This window comes from Homo sapiens, chromosome 8 (assembly GCF_000001405.40).
Source record: "Homo sapiens chromosome 8, GRCh38.p14 Primary Assembly".
NCBI lineage: Eukaryota > Metazoa > Chordata > Mammalia > Primates > Hominidae > Homo > Homo sapiens.
Window position 1 is genome coordinate 65,643,516 of NC_000008.11, and position 18,187 is coordinate 65,661,702.

Consider the following 18,187-nt stretch of genomic DNA (forward strand, 5'->3'; position numbering starts at 1 on the left):
TAGCAGTAAATACCCTCCGGAAAGATCTCAGAGGAAGAAATTAGTGCCCTTTGACAGAATCGCCACCGTCCATTGCTCCCACCCTTTCGGCTCCAAAGCTCCTGCTCTTTCATTCAGCCTCAGACAAGCACTCACTTCTCAGGAAGTATTCCCTGAGACATTATGGAGGCGCCCAGGCTCCCACCTCGATTCCATTATAATATTTGATTAAGTTTGTGTTTTTGTTTAGTTTGTGTTATCTCCTCGTTATCTTGTAGGCTCACTTAGGGCGTGGCTCAAGGCTTTTAACAACCTTTCTGCTGTCATAGTTGTCCCCCAACAAGCCGTTGTTGAGTAAATGAGTTAATGCTCTGGGTGAAGGAGGAAAGCCCTCACTAGGAAGAGACTTGTGCCACCCGGGGCAAGAACATCAGAGATCCAGTGACAGCCCAGCGACCTCCGGGATCAATTGCAATGGGAGGGTAAGAGAGACAGCCAATCAGCAACAGCCTCTTCAAAAGCCATACAAAAATACGGACAGGTTTCCTACCCTACATAGGAATCTTTCATCACGCCTACGCACATTACTACACTGCATAAGTTAGCTAGAAATGTAATAATCATATTTTCACGACAATTATTTGAAATCCAGAGTGTCCTAGAGTATTCAAATCTTTAGAAAGCACGTGCCCCAAATGAATCGGACTGAACAGACGCTGGAACCGAACATGGTAAAGTAAAATACTTATCCATGAGGCACTTTGTAATCCCCGCACTCCTGCTCTGCCTAAAGAGAAACATCTCGGATGTGAGGTCCGCATAGGCATTAGATCTGCCGGGTGGACACAGGTCCCTACAGCGTGGGGTGAAATGGGCTCCACATGTTAGGTTAACAAAAGCTTACGACTCGCAGCCTTTTTCAAGGTAATACACATCTGCGGCTACATTCAGAATGTGGGTGTCCCTAAACCCCTAAAGCATGAAGCTGACAAAAGCACTTCCCAGGACAGGACGGTGAAGGCACAAAGCAAGGTCCGCACAAAAGCACACGCCCCTCTCAGAGCTCCGCGCGTGCGCACACCGACTGTGACTCTCAGCAGCCGGCTTGCGGAGCGGTTGCCGCGTCCTCTGCCGAGCTTCTTGTGCCCGCCTCCGAGCCTGAGGAAACAGCTGATTGATCAGCCTGGCTCAGGCTTGGGGCGGGGATTGGCTGATTGGCAGCAACGCCACGGGACAGCCAAGCTAGAAGCCTGAGGAGCCGGAGAGGGTGCTGGCTGCCGCGCGGCCGAGGTGAGTAGGGTGGGAACTCGGAAAAGCGGTTGGCTAGCGGGTGATGAAGTCGGCTGCAGGCCTGACGGCGATGGGATGCCCTGGAAACAGTCAGAACAGGAGCTGAAGGAGCTCGGTTCGGGAACGCAGGGAGGCCGGCGGGATCCTGGGCCGGTTGAGTGTTTGCCCCGCGGCCGGGAGGCAGAGACTGCCTCGGCTGAGGGCGCGTGGGTCGGGGGCTCCGGAGGAGCTGAGGGAAGTCGGCTGACTTGCCCTGAAGGCTGAGACTCGCCCACCCGCCAATCTACCCCTACACCTCCTGCCCCCTCCCCCGACCTTCGGTCCATCTTTCGGACCCCCGGTTCCCGCGCCGGCCGCCAGGCGGCGGTCCTGGGGAGACCGCCCTTCGCGGCGGCTCCCTTGGGTGCTGCGCCCTTAACGGGCTCAGGAGCCGGACTGCGCGGGTGCACCGCCAGCCGGCCTCCGGGAGGAGCAGTGCGCTGGCTGATCCGCCGGGAAGTTTAACCAGCTTCCTGTGGTTGCTGTGTCGCTTTTCGCCTCCTAGAACTTCCCAGTGTATCTTCTGACCATGACCAGGGTTTGCAGGAAACCCCAAAGCCGGCCTTTGGGCATTAACAACAGCAGCATTTTATTATGGAAATCTTCAAACTGTGGAGAAATTGAACGAAGGATATAAGGAATTCACTGTACTCATTACCCAGTTTCAGTAATTATCAATACGTGGGCAGTCTTGCTCCCCTAATCCGGGTTATTTTGCGTTTTTGAGACAGGGTCTCTGTCACCCAGGCTGGAGTGCAGTGGCGGGATCTCTACCCACTGCAGCCTCCACCTCCTGGGCCCCAGCGATCCTCACGCCTCAGCCTCCCCACTAGCTGGGACTACAGGCAGGCGCCATCACGCCCGGCTTTCCCCCCCCCCCCCCTTTGTAGAGATGGGGTCTCCTTATGTTGCTCAGGCTATCTTTGAACTCCTTGGCTTAAGCGATCCTCCCTCCTTGGCCTCCCAAAGTGTTGGGATTACAGGCGGGAGTCATCGCACCCGGCTATCCTGGGTTATTTTGAAGCAAATCCCAGACATTATATAATTTCAATTATTTTACATATTTCTATGCCTCTGTCATGATGAATAATCATACATATAATAATTTGCTTTCTAGAGGGGTCAAGTAAAATAAGGGACATATTAAAGTGTAGACAGTGCTCATTTAGTTTGTACTACCAGAATTTAGGTAACTGCTACAGTGCAGTTTCATTATCTTGTGCTCAGGTTTTCAAAATCAGAGTTACCAGATAATCTAGACAGTAGTGCTCTTGCTTTTGAATAGTAATAATTGTATTGATAATTTCTATTTGTCGAGTTCTTAGTATGTATGAAGGACTGTGAAGTTGTTTCCACCTACTCATTTAATTTTTGCAATAACCCTATGAAGTAGGTATTATTATCCCCATGTTAGAGTTAGGAGAAAGAAATTTGGAGAGGTCACAATTTACCTGAAGTCACACTGCTGAAAGGATGGGGGTGGGGGTAGAATTCAGAATGCTACTCTTGGCCTTTGTCATTGCAAAGTTCTTGCTCTTTTAACTGTAACAATGTCCTAGGAGTTGTGGAATAAATGGAACTGCTGTGGAAAATTATTTCTGTTAAGCCACAAATCAGTAATGGAAAAAAAAAAGCCTGAAAATTTACACAAATACAAACAATAGTGAGAGAGGTATGTTTGTTCTTTGAAAAGTTAAAGATTATTACAACTAAATTTGATGTCCTGAGAAAACATAGCTCAACAAATACAAGTGCTAAAAATTTTATTCTTGGCCAGATGCATGGCTCAGCCGAGCACTTTGCAAAGGCCGAGGCAAGAGGACCCCTTGAGACCAGCCTGGGCAATATAGTGTGACACTGTATTTAAAAAATAAAAGTAAAATAAACATTTTATTCTTTAATATGTAACCAGTTAGAGAGAAAAGGAAAATATACATCAATGAATAGCCTCTACCACTCCTTTAGCACATAGCATATATTGGATATTAATACTAAATATTTCATCTATATCCTTCATCCTCCCAATCTTAAACTACTAAGACAACATCTTCATCCAAATAGTGTTAGATGAATAAGGAATGAGATAGAAACAGCTGGGCCTCCTCTACTTATTCAAAGGACAGTAGAGAAGGACTATTAGCTTGGAGTTTAGGAATCCTACTGGATAGGAGTAATTCAGAAGTCCAGAAGTCAGGTCAGAATCCTTTGTGAAGGAACTTGAGTGCCACTTAAAGAGTTTAAACTTAATGAGCAAAGAAGTGACATGATCAAAGTTATCTTACAGGAAGATAGATACAGGAAGATAGCTGGTACTGTCAAAGGTGGCTTTACCAGTCATGTGAAAGGATTAGCAGTTGGTTGACCTGATAAATATAAAGGAAATAGACGTGGGGAACTGGCAAATTTATGGATATGAGGAAAGGACCAGACAGAGAATACAGCCTGAAACAGAGAAAAGAGAATGGTATATAGTAGGATTTTTTTTGTTTTTGTTTCTGTTTTTTTTGAGATGGAGTTTTACTCTTGTTGCCCAGGATGCAGTGCAGTGGTGTGATCTCTGCTCACTGCAACCTCTGCCTCCTGGGTTCAAGCGATTCTCCTGCCTCAGCCTCCCATGTAGCTGGATTACAGGCGTAGGCCACCACGCCCAGCTAATTTGTATTTTTAGTAGAGACAGAGTTTCACCATGTTGGCCAGGCTGGTCTTGAACTCCTGACCTCAGTTGATCCAACTGCCTCAGCCTCCTAAAGTGCTGGGATTATAGGTGTGAGCCACCATGTCTGGCCTATAGTACGTTTTGAAGTGATGATAGACTTCATTTTCCATGGGTTTGTTTTCTTGGGCCATCCTGGTGATGAGTTGGTGATGAGTTTTTACTGTATCACTGTTCTTTGAAGTGGTAATTACTGCCCAGCTACTGAACTATTCTTTTATATATTTATTAGATACTATTGATAGAAATTACACAATTTAGATAAGCAACAAAAAAAAAAATGACACTATAATCCTACCCTTTAAAGATAACCACTTGATGGGGAAAAGGTGATAACAGTTTTAGTTAACATTTATTTGATTACTGTTGGACATTTTTCACATTTTATTTTCTGTTTGTATTTCTACTTGTAAAATGCCTACTGACGTACTATGCCTATTTTTCCATTGGGCTTTTGATCATTTGTTTGTTTGTTTGTTTGTTTGTTTGTTTTGAGATGGAGTCTCGCTCTGTCACCCAGACTGGAGTGCAGTGGTGCGATCTTGGCTCACTGCAAGCTCTGCCTCCCGGGTTCACGCCATTCCATTCTCCTGCCTCAGCCTCCTGAGTAGCTGGGACTACAGGCGCCCGCCACTAAGCCCGGCTAATTTTTTCTATTTTTTAGTAGAGACGGGGTTTCACTGTGTTAGCCAGTATGGTCTCGATCTCCTGACCTCGTGATTCGCCCACCTCGGCCTCCCAAAGTGCTGGGATTACAGGCGTGAGTCACCATGCCTGGCCCATTTGTTTCTTTATTTGCAAGCACTTTATATTCATTAGGGATATAAACCATTTGTTACATTAAGTTGCAAATAGGTTTCTCAATTACATGGCTCTTCTCAAAATCTTCAGAGTGGCTAGTAAAATGAAAAATATGTCAGCTGGGAGAGCACTCAGGGCTGCTGTTTTAGGGACCAGAACATTCCACCTCTGAAACAATTCCTTCATTTATGATACTGAAGTTATTGTCAACCAGTCAATCTGCAAGTCATTTTTACCAAATAAATTGTTTTGTGTAAATAGTTGATATCATTAAAAAATTTTTTTTCTGCTCCGACTCCACCGGGAGATATCATTTAACGTATAATTTGTACAACTGGAGTTGACTGGTGTGAGTTGGTTGTGGTTAAAATGTAAACAGTCAGACAAGTTAAACAGGAAAGTTAAGTTTCCATGATTGAAAAAACATACATTGTAATGTACATATAAATATATATATAAAGCAGTATAACTAAGATCTTTTTAAACATTTAAGATTTTTTTTTAGGGACAGAGTCTTTCTTTGTTGCCAGGTTGGAGTGCAGTGATGCTATCATAGCTCTAAGATATTTTATTAATTTTTTTCACCTCCCTCCCTTGGTTACTTTTTGAAATGGCCGATTTGATATATAGTCGGCCTTCTGGATTCATAGGTTCTGTATCCGCAGATAGAAAATATTTGAAAAAACAATGATAAAATAACAATATGACAATAAGAAACAATACAAATAAAACAATACAGTAGACAACTGTTTCCATTATATTAGGTATTACAAGTAATCTACAGATGACTTCAAGTATATGGGAGGATGTGTATAGGTTATATGGAAATACTGTATCATTTTATATTTCTTTTTTTTTTTGAGATGGAGTTTTGCTCTTGTTTCCCAGGCTGGAGTGCAATGGCACACACGATCTCGGCTCACTGCAACCTCCACCTCCCAGGTTCAAGTGATTCTCCAGCTTCAGCCTCCCGAGTAGCTGGGATTACAGGACCCCGCCACCACGACCTGCTAATTTTTTGTATTTTTAGGAGAGACAGCGTTTCACCATGTTGGCCAGGCTGTCTTGAACTCCTGACCTCAGGTGATCCACCGCCTCAGCCTCCCAAAGTGCTGGGATTACAGGTGTGAGCCACCGCGCCTGGCCCATTTTATCTTTATTTTTATTTTTGTGGGTACATAATAGGTATATGTATTTATGGGGTACGTGAGATATTTTAATACAGGCATATAATGTGTAATAATCACATCAGGGTAAATGGTAAATGGGGTATCCACCTCAAGTATTTATCCTTTCTTTGTGTTACAAACAATCCAATTATACTTTTAGTTATTTTTTAATGTACAATAAATTATTGTTGGCTATAGTCATCCTGTGATGCTATCAAATTCTAGGTCTTATTCATTCTAACTGTATTTTTGTATGCATTAACCATCCCTACTCCATCTCCCCCCACCCCCCCACACTGTCCTTTGCAGCACCTGATAACCATCCTTTTGGGTTTTTTTGTTTTGTTTTTGAGATGGAGTCTCGCTCTGTCACCAAGGCTGCAGTGCAGTGGCGTGATCTCGGCTCACTGCCACCTCTGCCTCCTGGGTTCAAGCGATTCTCCTGCCTCAGCCTCCCAAGTAGCTGGGGTTACAGGCGCCCACCACCACGCCCGGCTGATTTTTGTATTTTTAGTAGAGATGGGGTTTCACTACGTTGGCCAGACTGGTCTCGAACTCCCGACCTCAGGTGATCTGCCTACCTCAGCCTCTCAAACTGCTGGGATTACAGCTGTGAGCCACCATGCCCAGCCTAATTTTTGTATTTTTAGTAGAGACAGGGCTATGCCATGTTGGCCAGACTGCTGGTAACCATCCTTATACTCTTTTTTTTTTTTTTTTTTTTTGAGACAGAGTTTTACTCTGCAACCTCCGCCTCCCAGGTTCAAGCAATTCTCTGCCTCAGCCTCCCGAGTAGCTGGGATTACAGGCGCCCACCATCATGCCCAGCTAATTTTTTGTATTTTTAGTAGAGACGGGGTTTCACCATTTTGGCCCAGGCTGATGTTGAACTCCTGACCTTGTGATCCACCTTCCTTGGCCTCCCAAAGTGCTGGGATTACAGGTGTGAGCCACCGCGCCTAGCCAACCATCCTTATACTCTTATCTGCATGAGTTAAGTTGTTTTAATTTTTAGGTCCCGTAATAAGTGAGAATATGTGAAGTTTGTCTTTTTCTGCCTGGCTTATTTCGCTTAACATAATATCCTCCAGTTCCATTCATGTTATTTTCAAATGACAGGATCCCATTCTTTTTAATGGCTGAATAGTACTCCGCTATGTATATGTATCACATTTTCTTTATCCATTTGTCTGTTGATAGACATTTATTTAGTTGCTTCCAAATCCTGGCTGTTGTGAATAGCTCTGCAACAAACATGGCACGGCAGATATTGCTTCAATATACTGATTTCCTTTCTTTTGGGTCTATACCTACCAGTGAGATTGACGAGTCATATGGTAGCTCTATTTCTAGTTTTTTGAGGAACCTCCAAACCGTTCTCTATAGTGGTTGAGCAAATTTACAGTCCCACCAACAGGATATGAGGATCCCTTTTCTCCACATCCTTGCCAGCATTCATTCTTGGCTGTCTTTTGAATATAAGCCATTTTAACTGGGTGAGATGGTATGTCATTGTAGTTTTGATTTGCATTTCTCTGATGATTGGAGCACTTTTTTAATATACCCGTTTGCCATTTGTAAGTCTTCTTTTGAGAAATGTCCATTCAGATCTTTTGCCCATTTTTGAATTAGATTATTCGATTTCTTTCCTATTGAATTGTTTGAGCTACTTATGTATTCTGGTTGTTAATCCCTTGTCAGGTGAATAGTTTGCAAATTTTTTTTCCGTTCTGTGGGTTGTCTCTTCAGTTTATTGATTATTTCATTTGCTATGCAGAAGCTTTTTGACTTGATGTGATCTCATTTGTCCTTTTTTTGCTTTGATTGCCTAATACCCCATGTGGGGTGCTATTCAAGAAATCATTGCCCAGACCAATGTCCTGGAGAGTTTCCCCCAGTGTTTTCTTGCAGTAGTTTCATAGTTTGAGGTCTTAGATTTAAGTCTTTAATCCATTTTGATTTGATTTTTGTATATGGCAAGAGATGGGTTGTAGTTTCATTCTTCGGTATGTGGATATCCAGTTTTCCCAGCACCATTTATTGAAGAGACTGTCTTTTCCCAATGTATGTTCTTGGCACCTTTGTTAAAAATGAGTTTACTGTAGACCTATGGATTGATTTCTGGGTTCTCTACTCTGTTCCATTGGTCTATGTGTCTGTTTTTATGCTACGACCATGTTGTCTCGGTTACTATAGCCCTGTAGTATAATTTGAAGTCCAGTTTTTTTCTTTTTGCTCAGGATAGCTTTGGCTATCCTGGGTCTTTTGTGGTTCCATATAAATTTTAGGATTATGTTTTCTATTTCTGTGAAGAATGTCATTGATATTTTGATAGACATTTTGATAGATATTTCATTGAATCTGTAGATTGCTTTGGGTGGTATGGACCTTTTAACAATATTGACTTTTCCAGTTCATGAACATGGAATATTTTTTCCTTGTGTGTGCCCCCTTTAATTTTTTTTTTTTTCAGACAAGGTTTTGCTCTATCATCCAGGCCGGAGTGCAGCGGCATGATCACAGCTCATGGGCTCAGGAGGCCCTCCTGCCTCAGCCTCCCATGTAGTTGGGACTACAGGCACATGCCACCATGCCTGGCTAATTTTTTTTTGAGACGAAGTCCCACTCTGTCGCCCGGGCTGGAGTCTGGGGTGCAGTGGTGCTATCTCAGCTCACTCCAACCTCTGCCTCCCAGGTTCAAGCAACTCTCGTACCTCAACCTCCCAAGTAGCTGGGATTACAGGTGTGCATTACCACACCCGGCAAATTTTGTATTTTTTAGTACAAAAATATAGGCTGGTCTCAAACTCCTGGCCTCAAGTGATCCTCCTGCCTCTGCCTCCACCTCCCAAAGTGCTGGGATTACAGCTGTGAGCCATCATATCTAGCCCTTAATTTTTTGTTTTTTTGTAGAGGTGGGTCTCCCTATGTTATCCAGGCTGGTCTCAAACTCCTGAGCTCAAGTGATCCTCCTGCTTTGGCCTCCCAAGGTGCTGGGATTACAGGCATGAGCCACCACCCTGACCCTCTTAAATTGCTTTTGAGTTTTCATTGTAGATATCTTTCACTTTGATTTCACTTTGGTTAATTCCTAGGTATTTAATTTTATTTGTGGCTATTGTAAATGGGATTAATTTATTGATTTGTTTTTCAGATTGTTCACTGTTGGCATATAGAAATGCTACTGAGTTTTGGATGTTGACTTTGCATCATGTAACTTTACTGAATTTATCAGTTCTAATAGTTTTTTGGTAGAGTCTTTAGGTTTTTCCAAATACAAGATTACATCATCTGTAAACAAGGATAATTTGACTTCTTCCTTTCCTATTTGGATGTCCTTTATTTCTTTCTCTTGCCTGATTGCTCTAGCTAGGACTTTTTACTATGCCATTTTATATAAGGCACTTGAGCATCTGTAGATTTTGGTGTCCATGGGATTCCTGGAACCAATCCCCTGTGGATACTGAAGGACAAGTGTATAATGTGTACAGGCAGGAGGGTAAACTGCTTTCCTAAAGAGATGATTTTAGGTGGAACAAGAATCAACTTTGTATTTATTTTAGTCAAGATATCCTTTTCTGTCTGTTTTGGCTCAGATAGGGAGTACAATGTATAGTTAAGTACTTTAAAGTATATCCTGGAACAAACTTTGATTGCATCAGTATTATTGCTTGGCATGAGGCTAAGTTTATTTAATTTTTAAAAAATGAGTTTATTTAAGATCGAGCACAGTGGCACACGCCTGTAATCCCAGCACTTTGGGAGGCCGAGGTGGGTGGATCACCTCGATCACCAGGCAGTTCGAGACCAGCCTGACCAGTGTGGTGAAACTCCGTCTCTACAAAAAATACAAAAATTAGCTGGGCGTGGTGGTCTGCACCTGTAATCCCAGCTTCTCGGGAGGCTGAGGCCCAAGAATCGCTTGACCCCGGGAGGTGGAGGTTGCAGTTAGCTGTTATCGTGCCACTGCACTCCAGCCTGGGCAACAGAGCAAGGCTCTGTCTCAAAAAATAAAAATAAGAAAGAAAGAAAAAAACAGTTAATTTAAATTAAAACATTAAGAGCATCCAGATATGACAAAACTCATAAACCAAGTATGAAGGTTTGAAGTTGAGAAATACTAGTATAGCCTGTAAGGGTTCCCAAAGTTTATATATTGCTAATGTTTATTATTTACTTAGATGGTCCAAATTAGAATAATTTTTATGTTTTTACTTTTTAGATTTCAGTTATTTAATTTAGAAAATGTTACTAGTCTTTAAAAATTACAAAAGTAGGCTGGGTATGGTGGCTCATGCCTGTAATCCCAGCAATTTGGGAGGCTAAGGTGGGAGAATCACTTGAAGCCAGGAGTTTGAGACCAGCCTGGGCAACATAGTGAGACCCCATCTCTACAAAAAAGTATAAAGTTAGCTGGATGTGATGATATGCCTATAGTCCTAGCTACTTGGGAGGCTGAAGCAGGAGGATCACTTGAGCCCGGGAGCTTAGGGCTGCAGTGAGCTCTGATGGTGCCATTGCACTCCAGCCTGGGTGACAGAGTGAGACTTTGTCTCTCAAAAAAAAAAAAAAAAAAGGAAAATCACAAAAGTAGTACATGTATCCTATTGGGGGGAAAGAAAACATACAAACAATACAGGAGTGCATAAGTGTATAATAAAAGTGGAGGGTCTCACCACCAAGCCCTCAGATATAGTAAGTGTTAAGTTTTGGTAAGTTTTCAGATCTTTCCTCTATTTCACCACTGTTTCTGTTACTTTATTGTTTTTTAGTTATTTTTAATGGAATTAATATGTATTTGTAACTTTTTTCATTCAGCATTTTATTATGAAAATTGTTTCATGTATGGCTCTATCTTTTTTGTTTTAATGGCTGTAAACTTAGAATGGGCATATTTAATTTATTGAATTAATTTTAACCATTTCCCTATTGATGGTCATTTAGATTACCTTTGGATTTTCTCTTTCACAGTAATGTTTCAGTGAATACCCTTGCCAGCTTTCAAAAACTAAACATCTTTCTCCTTGGAGAAAGGTATAATTTACTGAGTTCTTCCATTAAAGCAATTTTTTTGTGTGTTGTGTTGTGTTTGAGACAGTTTCACTCTGTTACCCAGAGTGGAGTACAGTGGCGCACTGATAGCTCATTGTAACCTCAAATTCCTGGGCTCAAGCGATCCTTCTGCCTCAGCCTCCTGAGTAGCTAGGACTACAGGTGCATACCACTGTGCCTAGCTAATTTTTAAATTTTTTGTAGAGATGGGGTCTTGTTATGTTGCCCAGGGTGGTCTTGAACTACTGGCTCAAATAGTTCTCCTGCCTCAGCCTCCCAAAATGCTGAGATTCCAGGTGTGAGCCACCGTGCCTGGCCTGGCAATTTTTTATACACATAATATGCAGGGGACAGTAACTATTACACAACTTATCAACATCAACTTTATAGTGATTTTTCATCACTTCCTTGGGCCTAAGGGCAACATTTTTAGTCATTGTTGACTGCCAAGTACTTTATTTGCTTCTACTGATGTCCAGCCCAGGATCACTTAAGATATTTGAATAGTGTTTTCAAAAGATTATTTTAAAATTTATGCCTCAGTACTTAATTCATCTGCATGTGGCTGCTTAAAATATTCTGTGTCAATCACTGTGGGGTTATATTTCAGAGATTCTCACATGAAAATGTCAGCCTTTAGTTCAAATATGAATATGATCTCTGTCTCTAACTTCTTTTAAATCATAAAGATAACATCTAAAAATGTCCTTCAGAAGTTTAATTTTATATCTAAATTGCATTAGCTTGAAAGAATTTGCGCCAAGTTTGATTAGCCTGTGTTCATGGACCTCTTATCTTACTAGTTTTTGTTTTTGTTGAGAGATGTGGTAGTATAGGTCATGAGATTTATTCCCTTGTGGACTGAAAAAATGACATATGTCCGATCCTGTGCTGGTACTGGGAGTAGCAGTGTACTTAATTTTGCATGAGCCATATGGAATATTAATTCAAAATTACTACCAGTAAATTGTACCCACAGATTGAATACTATATTTTGTTTTATAGTATGGTAAAGTGTTTTGACTTAAGTATCAACTGGACTGATGTGAAGGATAGCAGTGGTCCCTGGACTTGAATTTCAAAGTTTAATTTTCAAAAGGTAGTATAGGGTCAAGGTGCAGTGGCTAAAGGCTGTAATCCCAGCACTTTGGGAGGCTGAGGTAGGTAGATAACCTGAGGTCAGGAGTTTGAGACCAGCCTGGCCAACATTGTGAAACCCTGTCTTTACTAAAAATACAAAATTAGCTGGGCATGGTGGTGCGCACCTGTAATCCTGGCTACTTGGGAAGCTGAGGCATGAGAATCACTTAAACCCAGGAGGCAGAAGTTGCAGCGAGCTGAGATCACGCCATTGCACTGGGTGACAGAGCAAGACTCTGTCTTAAAAAAAAAAATATATATATATATATACCATATATATATATATGGTAGTGGGTTGATGTAGGGTTGACAACTAAACATTGTGACAAGGACATTTAAAAAAAAATTATAGCCAGGCATGGTGGTGCATGCCTGCAATCCCAGCTACTCAGGAGGCTGAGGCAGGAGAATCGCTTGAACCCAGGAGGCAGAGGTTGCAGTGAGCCGAGATCACATCATTTTTCTCCAGCCCGGGCAACAAGAGTGAAACTCTGTCTCAAAAAAACAAAACAAAACAAAAACAAACAACATTCATCTACTGTCCCTGTATCATAAAAGGAAAGTAGCGTTTACACCATAAGCATAGGAAGGACATAGTCTCAAAATAAAGGACATTAACTTTATTCTTTAATTTTTATTTTTTATTTTTGTTAGAGCCAGGGTCTTGCTCTGTTGTCCAGGCTTGTGTATAATGGTGCACTCATAGCTCACTGTAATCTCAAACTCCTGAGTTCAAGAGATCTTTATGCCTCAGCCTCCTGAGTCAGTAGGACTACAGGCATGTACCACCATGCCTGGCTAATTTTTTTTTTTTTTTTTTTGAGATGGAGTCTTTCTCTGTTGCCCAGGCTGGAGTGCAATGGCGCGATCTTGGCTCACTGCAACCCCCGCCTACCAGATTCAAGCGATTCTCACGCCTCAGCCTCCCAAGTAGCTGGAATTACAGGCACCCACCATCATGCCTGGCTAATTTTTGTATTTTTGTAGAGACGAGGTTTCACCATGTTGGCCAGGCTGGTCTCAAACTCCTGACCTCAGGTGATCCGCCTGCCTCAGCCTCCCAAAGTTCTGGGATTACAACTATAAGCCACCATGCCCGGCTGCCTGGCTAATTTTTAAAAAATTTCTGTGGAGAAGGGGTTTCAGTATGTTGCCCAGGCTGCTCTTGAACTGCAGGCCTCAAGTGATTCTCCTGCCTCAGCTTCCCACAGTGCTGAGATTATAGATGTGAGCCACCACACCTGCAGGACAGTAACTTTCAACTGAATACTTTTTTGTTCTTTTTTTTAGTTCATAATCCTCATTTATTTATTTACTTATTTTTTTTTTTTTCAGACGGAGTCTCACTCTTATTGCCCAGGCTGGAGTGCAGTGGAGCAATCTCTGTTCACTGTAACATCCGCCTCCTGAGTTCAAGTGATTCTCCTGCCTCAGCCTCCCAAGTAGCTAGGATTACAGGCATGCACCACCACACCCAGCTAATTTTGTATTTTCCGTAGAGATGGAGTTTCACCATGTTGGCCGGGCTGGTCTCGAATTCCTGACCCCATGTGATCCACCCACCTTGGCCTCCCAAAGTGCTGGGATTACAGGCATAAGCAACTGCGCCCAGTCTATTTATTTGTTTTAAACAAGATTTTATTTTTAGAGCAGTTTTTGTTTTTGTTGTTGTTTTGGTGAGGAAAAACCATATTCACACCATAGCAGGGTTCAAACTAAATCACTTATATGGTCTGGGCACAGTGGCTCATGCCAATGTTTTGGGAGGCTGAGGCAGGAGTATTGCCTGAGCTCAGGAGTTTGAGGCTAGCCTGGGCAATGTAGTGAGACCCCGTCTCTAAAAAAAATTTAAAAAAATAGCCAGGCATGGTAGTGCATGCCTGTAGTCCCAGCTACTCAGGTGGCTAAGGCAGGAGAATCACTCGAGCCCCAGGAGTTTGAGGCTGTGGTGAGCAATGATCATGCCACTGCACTCCAGCCTGGGTGACAGAAGAGTGAGACTGTCTCTAAAAAAAAAAAAAAAGCACTAATTGGGTAATGATTGTCTTCCTCTGAGTGGTAGAGAGAACAATAACTTCACGTTCCTTTTTTAATTTAACACATAATAATTGTACATATTTATGGATACATTATGATGTTGCAATACATATAATGTGTAGTACTCAGATCATAGTAGTTAGCATATCCATCATCTCAAACATTTATCATTTCTTTGTGTTGGCAACATTCAGTATCATAGTCCTTATTTTTATTTTCCATCATTTGGCCTTAAAATGTGGACTGTCATCTGTGTTGCCTTATCTGTTAGCATTCTGAGAATAGTAAACATTATTCCAGTGATTCATAAGGAACCTAGAAAACAAAATGCCAGCCACATAACTAAGAATATTCTATTAATCTTCTTATTTTCCCCAACTCTAAAATGAGTCATTCCCATCTTTCATAATGAAAATATAGTTAAATGGCCATTTCCTTGAATAGTTCTCAAAAACCTTCTAAAAATAAGCCCCACCATGCTGTTATAACTTTGTAAATTTTTGGCATCTTAAATGTAGTGACAACATTGTCATTGTTGCTAACAGAGTTATTATGAAACTACTGCTGATAACTTTTTATTATAACTATCTCAAAAACAGATATTACATTAGTTGAAGACAGTATTATTTTGTATTATTTTCAATTTGACTGCTATAAATTTTAGTCGAGCTACATACTATTATATATTTTCACAGTGTTGGTAGAAGAAAAAGAAAGTCTATTTCCAATATTTATCTGGGTTTCTCTTCTACCAGCTGCCAACCAAAATTAATTTGCTATTTCTTATACTCTATGCTAGAGTAGAGTAGATAGTCTAGAATATAAGCCTATACCATCTTCATAACACTTGTAGGAATTGAATACACACACATGTGTGCATGCACATATACACACACACACATTTTCATTGATTCATAAGGAACCTAGAAAACAAAATGCCACCTGATTCTTAGCAATTTTTTTAAAAACCTTATTTATTTTGAAGTGTAACACAGAAGAAAGTACAGACATAAATACAGCTCAATAAATTGCCACAAAGCAAATATCCATGTAATGACCACCCAGGTTAAGAAATAGAATGTTGTCTGCACTCTGGGGTAGTTTTGCTTTTGAGCAAGAGCTTCTAAAAGAGCTTAGAAAAATAGGTGACAGGAAACAGCACTGATGTAAAGTGTAAGAGAATAAGCAAGCAGAAACCCTTTGAGAAGGCAGTAGCTGTAGGAGAAGCAGTATTCTAAAGGGAAGCCAAGTTTCATCACGGGGAGGGAAGTAAGCCAGGGGAGTTCAGTAGTGAGTGAATCTGTTGAAGATAAGATACAGAGTTGGGGGATGTTTATAGACAAACAAGTACCAGAGAGCACTGTGAAGAAGTTTGGAGGAAGGGGTAGCAGCAGGAGTCCACCGTCTATGTCACCTCCCTTCTGTGTTTAACAAGGACCATTACCTTTCTCAAAATTTTCCTTTTTGGTGATAATACCACTCTTATTTTTCTACTACTATTTTGATCTTTTTTTGGTTAGTGTCTGTTGGATATAAAAATGCTCTAGGAATAAATTCTCGGTGCTACAAAGTGAAACCAGCACTCAGGCAAAAGTTTTCTCAGCAAGGCAATTTACTGCTGCAGAAGGGTGCCACTTGCATCAATCAAGATCACAAAAGATCACAATCAAGATCACTGAACAAAGGAGAGGTTTTTTTTTTTTTTTTTCAATCCCTGACACGTAGTCTTTGCCTCTGTGTCACTCCCCCATAGGCTGGGGTCGGACCACGCAATCTGAGCTGACCTGATTGGCTACTTGCAAATATTTTTCTAAATATGGAAGAGAAGGGGGACGTGAGGTACAGTGGTGAGATGTGCAGTTTCGGGGTAACAATATTGCAGGTAACCAAGGGAACAGATGTGAGTTATTGATTAGATCTGACAGGAAGCGGGTAGGCTGTTTACAGTAACTAGGGGCAAGGAGACATGTAGAAAGAGAAAGTTGAGTTTGAGAACAAAGGACAAGGAAGTTAACAGGCTAAACCTTTGAAGATAAACTGATTCATTGTATCTTACAGTGTCTTTTATTTTTTTCTGTTTGTTCTAAAAGTATTAATATTTCCTGAGCTTTCTGTCCAGTCTTCCCTTCTTACTCTATATGATTTAACTCATTTCATCTGTTTTTTCTAGCCAGTGCTCTGTATTCTTTATCTCTAGCCGACACTTAAGAAACATCTTTTCCTGGCAAATAAGGATGATTTTTCAAATAATAATTTAAAAAAACCATCTGTGGGCCGGGCATCGTGGCTCACGCCTGTAATCCCAGCACTTCGGGAGGCTGAGGCTGGTGGATCACCTGAGGTCGGGAATTCAAGACCAGCCTGACCAACATGGCCAAACCCTGTCTCTACTAAAAATACAAAAAATTAGCCAGGCATGGTGGTACATGCCTGTAATCCCAGCTACTTGGGAGGCTGAGGCAGGAGCATCTCTTGAACCTGGGAGGTGGAGGTTGTGGTGAGCCAAGATCATGCCATTGTACTCCAGCCTGGGCAACAGGAGTGAAACTCTGTCTCAAAAAAAAAAAAAAAAAAGACAAAAAAAAAACCCATCTGTGGTGGTTAATTTTATATATCAACTGGACTGGTCTGAGGGATGCTCAGATAGCTGGTAAAACATCACTACTGCTGTGTATTTGTGAGGGTGTTTCTGGAAGAGATTAGCATTTGAGTATATAGACTGAATAAAGGCATCACAAATCCCTTGAGGGCCTGAATAAAATAAAAGACAAAGAGAGAGCAAATTTGTACTCAGCTTGAGCTTGGATATCCCTCAGGCCCTCCCTCAGGCCTTCTCATCAGACTGAGATTTAACACTATTAGCTCTGTCGGCCTCCAGCTTGCACACGGCAGACTGTGGGACTTTCTAGCCTCCATAATTGCATGAGCCAATCCCTCATAATAAATCTGTTTCTATGTATCTATATTTTGTTGGTTCTCTCTGGAGAACCCTGACTAAATACACTGTTTAAGAAAGGAGTAAAACTTGCACTGAGATGTTTAGAGCAGCTTTATTCATAGTTTATCAAAATGTGGAAGCAATCAAGGTGTTCTCCAGTAGGGGAAGGAATAAATAAACTGTGGTATCTCCGTAAAATGGAATGTTATTCCACACTAAAAAGAAATGAGCTATCAACCATGAGAATACATGGAGGAACCTTAAATGCATATTACTAGGCAAAGAAGCCATTCTGAAAAGGCTATATACTGTGTGATTCCAACTTCATGACATTCTGGAAAAGGCAAAACTATGGAGACAATAAAAGGATCAGAGATGCCAGGGGTTGGGAAGGAGGGTAAATTAATAGGTGGAACACAGGATTTTTAGAGCAGTGAAACTATTCTGTATGATATAACAATGGTGGATACATATCATTATTCATTTGCCTTAACCCACACAATGTACAGTAATGAAAGTGTACTGTTAGGTAAACTGTGGACTTTAGATGATGATGTGTCACTGTAGGTTCATCCATTGGAATAAATGCACCACTCTTGTGTGGGATATTGATAGTGGGAAGACTGCCCAATTAAGAAATCTGTACTTTCTACTCAATTTTGCTGTACATTTAAACTGCTCTAAAAAATAAACTCTGTTTTAGCCTGTAACCCCAGCACTTTGGGAGGCTGAGGGGGTGTATCACTTAAGGCCAGGAGTTCCTGACCAGACTGGCCAACATGGTGAAACCTTGTCTCTACTAAAAATACAAAAATTAGCCGGGTGCTGTGGTGCATGCCTGTAATACCAGCTATTTAAGAGGCATGAGAATCGCTTGAACCTGGGACGGGGGTTGCAGTGAGCCAAGATCCTGGCACTGCACTTCAGCCTGGGTGACAGAGCGAGACTCTGTCTCAAAAATAAATACATAAATACATAAATAAACTCTGTTTTTAAAAATGAGCAAAAGGCCAGGCACGGTGGCTCACA

The 18,187-nt window shown here is 41.5% G+C and overlaps 1 protein-coding gene across 26 annotated transcripts in view, besides 2 other annotated features; it reads left to right on the forward strand.

Annotated features, from left to right (window-relative positions):
* Window positions 374–18,187, forward strand: part of MTFR1 (mitochondrial fission regulator 1) — a 134,710-nt gene continuing 116,896 nt past the window's right edge. For 22 of the 26 annotated variants that reach the window (NR_182101.1, NR_182102.1, NR_182100.1 and 19 more), the window contains exon 1: window positions 1,219–1,269. The gene's annotated coding sequence lies outside the window, so the exon portion shown is untranslated. Of the gene's footprint in view, window positions 462–1,218; window positions 2,981–5,710; window positions 6,025–18,187 lie in introns of those variants that run through there. The other 4 variants (XM_006716484.3, NM_001413068.1, NM_001413081.1 and 1 more) reach the window with 3 other exon arrangements.
* Window positions 1,259–1,308: an enhancer, noted in NCBI's record as "active region_27462". NCBI's record gives its function as "activates an Ori minimal core promoter by ATAC-STARR-seq in GM12878 lymphoblastoid cells {active_cell/tissue: GM12878}" and the evidence as "EXISTENCE:reporter gene assay evidence [ECO:0000049][PMID:35858748]".
* Window positions 1,469–1,728: a silencer, noted in NCBI's record as "silent region_19245". NCBI's record gives its function as "represses an Ori minimal core promoter by ATAC-STARR-seq in GM12878 lymphoblastoid cells {active_cell/tissue: GM12878}" and the evidence as "EXISTENCE:reporter gene assay evidence [ECO:0000049][PMID:35858748]".